Below are 8,341 nucleotides of genomic sequence, written 5' to 3'. Positions count from 1 at the left end.
AACATGGCAAGACCCTGTCTCTACAAAAAAATTTAAAAATCAGGCCAGGCACAGTGGCTCACACCTGTAATCCCAGCACTTTGGGAGGCTGAGGCAGGCGGATCACCTGAGGTCAGGAGTTTGAAACAGCCTGGCCAACATGGCGAAACCCTGTCTCTACTAAAAATACAAAAATTAGCCAGGCGTAGTGGCAGGCGCCCGTAACCCAGCTACTCGGGAGGCTGAGGCAGGAGAATTGCTTGAAACTGGGAGGCAGAGGTTGCAGTGAGCCAAGATTGCGCCACTGTACTCTCCATCCCAGGCAACAGCGTGAGACTCCATCTAAAAAAAAAAAAAAAAAAGGGTGGGCGTGGTGGCTCATGCCTGTAACCCCAGCACTTTGGGAGGCCGAGGCGAGCGGATCACCTGAGGAGTTCGAGACTAGCCTGGTCCAACATGGTGAAACCCTGTCTCTACTAAAAATACAAAAATTAGCTGGGCGTGGTGGTGGGCACCTGTAATCCTAAGTACTCGGGAGGCTGAAGCAGGAGAATCGCTTGAACCCAGGAGCTGGAGGTTGCAGTGAGCCGAGATCTTGCCACTGCACTCCAGCCTGGGTGACAGAGCGAGACTCCATCTCAGATAAAAAAAAAAAAAAAAAAAAGTCCAGGCACGGTGGCTCACGCCTGTAATCCCAGCACTTTGGGAGGCTGAGGCAGGCAGACCATGAGGTCAGGAGTTCGAAACCAGCTTGACCAACATGGAGACACCCCATCTCTACTAAAAATACAAAAATTAGTAGGGCATGGTGGCAGGCGCCTGTAATCCCAGCTACTTGGGAGGCTGAGGCAAGAGAATTGCTTGAACCCAGGAGGCAGAGGTTGCAATGAGCCAAGATCGTGCCACTGCACTCCAGCCTGGGCAACAGAGCAAGACTCTGTTTAAAAAAAAAAAAAAAAAGGTGTCACAGCCTCTACCCTGGAGTCATCATGGGTGCAACATGGCAGGTGAAAGTTGGAGCTGGGACATTCTCTCATCAACCAGCAATGATAATAAAGGGAAATAATAACACAGCCCTGGCCATGTGCCTGACGCTCTGCTTCATATTTTATAGAATAACTCATTTAATTGTCCCAACAGCCCTATGAGGTGGTTACAATTATCCCCATTTTGCAGGCGAGGAAACTGAGGCACAGAGAGGCAAAATCACTAGTCCATGGTTACCCAGCTAGCAAGCGGTGCCTCTAAGCTCAGCACTGCACTGATGATTTTATTAGCTCACAAACTCCCCAAGGTAATACAGCCAGTTTATAGATGAGAAAATCAAGGGTCAGATGGGAAAGTCACAGACTCCAAGATCACACAGGTAGCAGTGTCTGCACCCAAGGCCTGAGCACTTTGTTCTCAGAGAACAAAGGAGGTCTCCCCTCTGTCCGGAAGCCTCCTGAGGACAAGGAGGTTGGCTGTGGCCCCACTGGAGGCTGGACCCACCTGGGCAGAATCGTGGTGCGGAGGCGCCCTCTGCTGGCAGCAGGGAAAAGACCAGCAAAAGGAGCCTTCCTTTCCTCCCTTTGCTTCTGGCCTAGAGCAGGTTCTTGAGCACCTCCTCTGGGCCTTGCCTGGCACTGGGGATGCTGAAATGGATGAGTCATCACCCCTCTCTTATCCCCTCAGAGGAAATGAACCATTTTGAAAGGGTTATCAGCAGAGGGCTGGGGAGAAACACCTGACCTAGCCTGGGCAGTCTGAGAGGGCTTCCTGGAGGAGGTGATCTGCATTGAATGAAAGGTAGCCTGATTCAGTTCAAGTCTCTGGGACCAAAACAATTTAGGCTTCATTGGCCAGGGTAGTTGTCACAGGCCACCCTGATCATGATATCAAGAAAACCCAAGAGCCAGATGCAGTGGCTCATGCCTGTAATCCCAACTCTTTGGGAGGCCAAGGAGGGAGGAGCGCTTGAGCCAAGGAGTTTGAGACCAGACTGAGCAACATAGAAAGACCCCCACTCTACAAAAAAAAATTAAAAAATTAGCCAGGCATGATAGCACACACCTGTGATCCCAGCTACTTGAAAAGCTGAGGTGGGAGAATCCCTTAAGCCCCGGACATCAAGGCTGAAGTGAGCTGTGATGGTGCCACTGCACACCAGCCTGGGTGACAGAGCAAAACCCCATCTCAAAAAAAAGAAAAAAGAAAACCCACAGAAGTGAAATGTAAATGAGGGCTCTGATAAGCCAAGGAATTTCAGGGGGAAGTGCCTTCCAGGCAAAAGGAACAGAGAGGGCAAAGGCTCTGAACACAGAAGGTGAGACAGACCAAGGAACAGCAAGGGGGCAGGTGTGGCTGGATCAGAGTGAGCAGAGGGGAAGGAAAAGAGTTAGGGAAGGGAGCTAATAGAAAAATTATGACTTTATGTGTGGGTGTGCTGCCTAATTCACCCAATCCACCTTTCATTGTCTTTTTTTTTTTTTTTGAAACAGTCTCGCTCTATTGCCCAGGCTGGAGTGCAGTGGTACAATCTCAGCTCACTGCAACCTCTGCCTCTTGGGTTCAAGTGATTCTCCTGCCTCAGCCTCCCAAGTAGCTGGGATTACAGGCACTCACCACCATGCCCGGCTAATTTTTTGTATTTTTAGTAGAGATGGGGTTTCACTATGCTGGCCAGGCTGGTCTCAAACTCCTGACCTCGTGATCCACCCACCTCGGCCTCCCAAAGTGCTGGGATTATAGGCGTGAGCCACAGCGCCTGGCAAATTTGGTTACTTCTATGGTTTACAATAACTTAGCATAATAGCCATAATTATAATTGATAGCATATACTTAGACATTGGAATTTTAGAAATCCCATACCATTTTGGAATATATATTAGTACTATTCACAAAAATATAACCTAAAGAAGATTGACTGCCTGGCCGCTGCACTGTCTGGGAAGTGAGGAGTGCCTCTGCCTGGTCGCCGTGCAACCCTCCAGGTGTGAAGTGGCAGCCTTGTGTGTGATCTTTCTGCCCTCCCCAAGTTTGCATTTTTGACAGTAAAGTTTACTTTTAAATTAAAAGATTTAAATTGGGGAAGATTAAAAAAAAAAAAAGAAGATTGAGCATCATTTTGGCAATCTCATGTACCTAAACATGTTGAATAATCCTGTTTACCTCCTTTCTGGATGTTTTCAGTGGCCCTCTGATCCATCCAAAAAGCCAGGCATTAGGAAAGACAATTTTGAAACTGAAGTTTGATTTTGGAATTCCAGATTACCGTAAGTTCTTTATTTTGCCAAAACGATGACTCAGAAATTTTAAAGAAGCAAAAACTTTGTATAACCCTTTTGAATTTAGTCAATATGTTCACACAGAGAACCTCTTCTGCAAATTAATTTTGCCAATTCTTCTACCACTTCTTTGAACCTTCAGCTTTTTCTATCTAACTCAAAACAATCATTTAACCCTAGGCAAAATTTACATTTCCATGCCTTCTTATAACCTTTTACAAAAAAAAAAAAAAACCACAACACATTTTACTGTTCTTATACACCTTGCATGTAAATCTATTTGCAGAAGTCTCGCTCTGTCACCCAGGCTGGAATGCAGTGGTATGATATCAGCTTACAGAAACTTCCACCTCCCGGGTTCAAGCAATTCTCCTGCCTCAGCCTCCCCAGTAGCTGGGATTATAGGCGTGTACCAACATGCCCAGCTAATCCTTATATTTTTAGCAGAGACGGGGTTTCACCATGTTGGCCAAGCTGGTTTCGAACTCCTAACCTCAGGCGATCCACCTGCCTCAGCCTCCCAAACTGCTGGGATTAGAGGCGTGAGCCACCATGCCCAGCCATATTTCCAGTAGTCTTGATTGCATGTTACAATGGTGACTCTTTGGCAATTTTAACTGTAATGTAAAACCTGGTAAGTTATGTTCTGATAAGATTTGACTGTTTTCAGCATAGCTAGGGCATTGCCAATTCCACATGTCCCCAGGCCTTACCTAGCTGGAAAGCAGGCAAGTAAAACAATTGCCATGAATTAAGAATATTCGCATGGGCTGGGCACAGTGACTCACACCTGTAATCCCAACACTGGGAGGTGGAGGCGGATGGATCACCTGAGATCAGGAGTTGGACACCAGCCTGGCCAACATGGTGAAACCTCGTCTCTATTACAAATACAAAATTAGCCAAGTATGATGATGGACGCCTGTAGTCCCAGCTACTTGGGAGGCTGAGGCAGGAGAATCACTTGAACTTGGGAGACAGAGGTTACAGTGAGCCGAGATCATGCCATGGCACTCCAGCCTGGGCAACAGAGAGAGACTCCACCTCAAAAAACAAAAACAAAAACAAAAAAGGCCAGGCGCAGCAGCTCATGCCTGTAATCCTAGCACTCTGGGAGGCCAAGACGGGCAGATTGCCTGAGCTCAGGAGTTTGAGACCAGCCTGGGCAAGGTGGTGAAACCCTGTCTGTACTAAAAAGAACTAAAAATCAGCTGGGCGTGGTGGTAGGTGCCTGTAATCCAGCTACTAAGGAGGCTGAGGCACGAGAATTGCTTGAACCTGGGAGGTGGAGGTTGCAGTGAGCCGAGTTCTTGCCAATGCACTCAGCCTGGGCAGCAAAGTAAAACTCTGTCTCAAAACAAAAAAATTCACTGGGCATGGTAGTGGATGCCTGTAACCCCAGGTAGTCGGGAGGCTGAGGCAGGAGAATCACCTGAACTCAGGAGGTGGAGGTTGTAGAGAGCAAAGATTGCACTCCAGCCTGGGTGACAGAGCGAGACTCTGTCTCAAAAAAAAAAGAAATGCAAAAACTTGAAAAGACATCTCAAAAGACCAATCTTAGGTTCTACCATAGTGATGTTCTCTGCAAGAGTAATTAGGGAAGTTGCAAATCTTAGAACCTCTGGAATAACGGCTGGGAATTATTATTAATTCAGGCCCCTCTCATTCTCCTAATTTGGTGGCTTTTCATTAGTTTTATGTGAACAGTTTTGGGGGAAGGGCTGTTATCATTTAAACTAAAAGGTAAATTTCTCCCAAAGTTAGCTTGGCCCACGGCCAGAAATGAGCAAAGGCAGGCAACCTCTGAGGCTAGAAGCAAGATGGAGTCAGCCATGTCAGTTCTCTTACTGCAGAGTTTTTGTTTTGTTTTGTTTTGTTTTGTTTTGTTTTGTTTTGTTTTGTTTTGGGACGGAGTTTCGCTCTTGTTGCCCAGGCTGGAGTGCAATGGCACGATCTCGGCTCACCACAGCCTCTGCCTCCCAGGTTCAAGCAATTCTCCTGCCTCAGCCTCCTGAGAAGCTGAGATTACAGGCATGCACCACCTCGCCCGGCTAATTTTGTACTTAGTAGAGACGGGGTTTCTCCATGTTGAGGCTGGTCTCAAACTCCTGACCTCAGGTGATCCGCCTGCCTCAGCCTCCCAAAGTGCTGGGATTACAGGCGTGAGCCACAGCGCCCGGCCACTGCATAGTTTACAAAGGTGTTTTCAGCACTAGAAATCAAGAACACACAATTTAGGCCGGGCGAAGTGGTGCATGCCTGTAATCCCAGCACTTAGGGAAACCAAGGTGGGCGGCTCACTTGAGACCAGGAGTTCAAGACCAGCCTGGCCAACGTGGCAAAACCCTGTCTGTACAAAATTTAGCCAGGCATGGTGGTGCAGTCCTGTAATCCCAGCTACTCAGAAAGCTGAGGCAGGAAAACCACTTGAACCCAGGAGACAAAGGTTGCAGTGAGCGGAGATTGCGCCACTGCACTCCAGCCTGGTGACAGAGCAAGACCCTGTCTCAAAACAAAACAGCTGGATGTGGTGGCTCACGCCTATAATCCCAGCACATTGGAGGCCAAGGTGGGCGGATCACAAGGTCAGGAGTTCAAGACCAGCCTGGCCAACATAGTGAAACCCCGTCTCTACCAAGAATACAAAAATATAGCTGAGCGTGGTGGCGGGTGCCTGTAATCCCAGCTACTCGGGAGGCTGAGGATCGCTTGAACCCGGGAGGCGGAGGTTGCAGGTTGCAGTGAGCAGAGATTGCGCCACTGTACTCCAGCCTGGGTGACTGTGCGAGACTCCATCTCCAAAAAAATAAAAAATAAAACCCACAGAATTTAGTAGTTAAACCTCCTTTCTGCAAAAGCCAACATGTGTGTGTACATCTGTACGTTTGTGTTTTTCTTTAAATCAACCCCAGGAGAAACATCAAATTTTCTAAGAACATTTGAGCCAGTTCAGCACAAAGCAAAAAGCTATTAAATGACCTCTCAGACTCCCTTCTAACCTTTTGATTTTTGTACTTTCTGGAAACAAACACCACCTGACCACTGGGTGGACAGATGATCTTCACATTTGGTTTTGTTTTTCCAGAAAGCTCAACATCATGAGGCTATTAGGAAACTTTTGCTGCAATTGTGCCCAGAATCATGGTCCAGGGTAGCAATGACGAATTTGCATTTACTAGGCAGGCCAATTGCAGGCCATACACTCTACTAGGCACCTTCCCATCTCTGGGTACATTTGATCCTCCTAACCCAGAGAAACCAAGTCACTTGCCTGAGGTCACACAGTCATGTAGACCTGGGACAGGATCCAATCCCAGATTCACCCTTCTCTTTCCCTCCATAGAATGAGACCTTTCTTCATTAACCAAGACATCACTTACTGTCATCACTTTTCACTGTACGCAAGCGAGCCTGGAAATGCTCTCCTCAGAATCCTCCCCCATCCCCAGGACAGTTTACAAATGCGGTAGGGTGAAGAAGTCAGTCTCTGAGGCCCCATGGAGATATAAAACACACATGGCTGTAAAGTCGGCTTGAGTGTTACAATCAAAGCTACACATCTGGTTCTGGCCACCTTCCCCTATACAGGCCCCATGCCAGCACCCCAGCTCTGACCACCACAGCTGAAAACAATTCTTTCCAGTAACTCAGTGATTCTTAACTGGGAGAGGGATGGTGATTTGGCCCCCAGGGAACATCTGTCAATGTCCAGGAAATATTTTTTATTTTTGTAACTGGAAGAGGTAGGTGCTTCGGCATCTAGTATGAAGCCAGGGATGCGGCTAAACAACCTCCTGGCCGGGCACAGTGGCCCATACCTGTAATCCCAGCACTTAGGGAGGCCGAGGCAGGTAGATCACCTGAGGTCAGGAGTTCGAGACCAGCCTGGGCAACATGGCGAAACCCTGTCTCTACTAAAAAATACAAAAATTAGCCAGGCATGGTGGTGGGCCCCTGTAGTCCCAGCTACTCAGGAGCCTGAGGCAGGAGAATTGCTTGAACCCAGGAGGCAGAGGTTGCAGCAAGCCAAGATCAGGCCACTGCACTCCAGCCTGGGCGACAGAGCAAGACCCTGTTTCAAAAAAAAAAAAAAAAAAAAAAGCCACCGAGTTAGGAGGCTGAGAGGTGCCAGAATTCTAAATAATTCTCAGCCATTATTTCAGAGGTCCTAAGGTTTGCAACTTCCCCAATTACTCTTGCAGAGAACATCACTATGGTAGAACCTACCATTGACCTTTTCTTCTTTTTTTTTTTTTTGAGACGGAGTTTCACTCTTGTTTCCCAGGCTGGAGTGTAGTGGTGCGATCTCGGCTTGCTGCAACCTCCACCTGCTGGGTTCAAGCAATTCTCCTGCCTCAGCCTCCTGAGTAGCTGGGGCTATAGGCATGTGCCACCATGCCCGGCTAATTTTATAATTTTACTAGAGATGGGGTTTCTCCATGTTGGTCAGGCTGTTCTCAAACTCCCAACCTCAGGTGATCCACCCGCCTCGGCCTCCCAAAGTGCTGGGATTACAGGCGTGAGCCTCCGCGGCCAGCCCCATTGATCTTTTCAAATGTCTTTTCAAGTTTTTACATTTCTGACAACCAGCTGGCCCCACCTGGACCCTCCAACTAGTCTGTGGTCCCCACCCAGGAAGTGACTCAGCACAAGAGAACAGCTTTCATTCCCTGTGAGTTCATCTTCAACCCAACCAATCAGCACATTCCCTACCCTGGCTCCCTGCCCACCAAACTATCTGAAAAACCCCTAGCCTAGGCCGGGCGTGGTGGCTCATGCCTGTAATCCCAGCACTTTGGGAGGCCGAGGTGGGTGGATCACCTGAGGTCAGGAGTTCGAGACCAGCCTAGCCAACATGGCGAAACCCCGTCTCTACTAAAAATACAAAAGTTAGCAAGGCATGGTGGCATGCGCCTATAATCCCAGCTACTTGGGAGGCTGAGACAGAAGAATCACTTGAACCTGGGAGGTGGAGGTTGCAGCGAGCCAAGATCACACCACTGCACTCCAGCCTGGGCAACAAGAGTGAAACTCCATCTCCAAAAAAAAAAGAAAGAAAGGCCAGGTGGGGTGGCTCATGCCTGTAATCCCAGCAC

General features: G+C 48.2%; 3 annotated features.

Moving 5' to 3' along the window:
• Nucleotides 1,364–1,506: a silencer, noted in NCBI's record as "fragment chr1:17820926-17821068 (GRCh37/hg19 assembly coordinates)". NCBI's record gives its function as "represses an EF-1alpha promoter that drives an FKBP-Casp9 reporter gene in an ReSE screen in phorbol 12-myristate 13-acetate-treated (for megakaryocytic differentiation) K562 erythroleukemia cells {active_cell/tissue: K562(+PMA)}" and the evidence as "EXISTENCE:reporter gene assay evidence [ECO:0000049][PMID:32094911]".
• Nucleotides 7,698–8,341: an enhancer, noted in NCBI's record as "H3K27ac-H3K4me1 hESC enhancer chr1:17814091-17814734 (GRCh37/hg19 assembly coordinates)". NCBI's record gives its function as "activates a minimal SCP1, AML or CMV promoter by ChIP-STARR-seq in naive H9 embryonic stem cells {active_cell/tissue: H9 hESC(naive)}" and the evidence as "EXISTENCE:reporter gene assay evidence [ECO:0000049][PMID:30033119]".
• Nucleotides 7,876–7,945: a silencer, noted in NCBI's record as "silent region_344". NCBI's record gives its function as "represses an Ori minimal core promoter by ATAC-STARR-seq in GM12878 lymphoblastoid cells {active_cell/tissue: GM12878}" and the evidence as "EXISTENCE:reporter gene assay evidence [ECO:0000049][PMID:35858748]".

The sequence above is a fragment of the Homo sapiens genome, chromosome 1, assembly GCF_000001405.40.
Source record: "Homo sapiens chromosome 1, GRCh38.p14 Primary Assembly".
Lineage (NCBI taxonomy): Eukaryota > Metazoa > Chordata > Mammalia > Primates > Hominidae > Homo > Homo sapiens.
The sequence above is the reverse complement of the archived record's forward strand: the minus strand, read 5'-3'. Positions and strand labels throughout refer to the sequence as shown.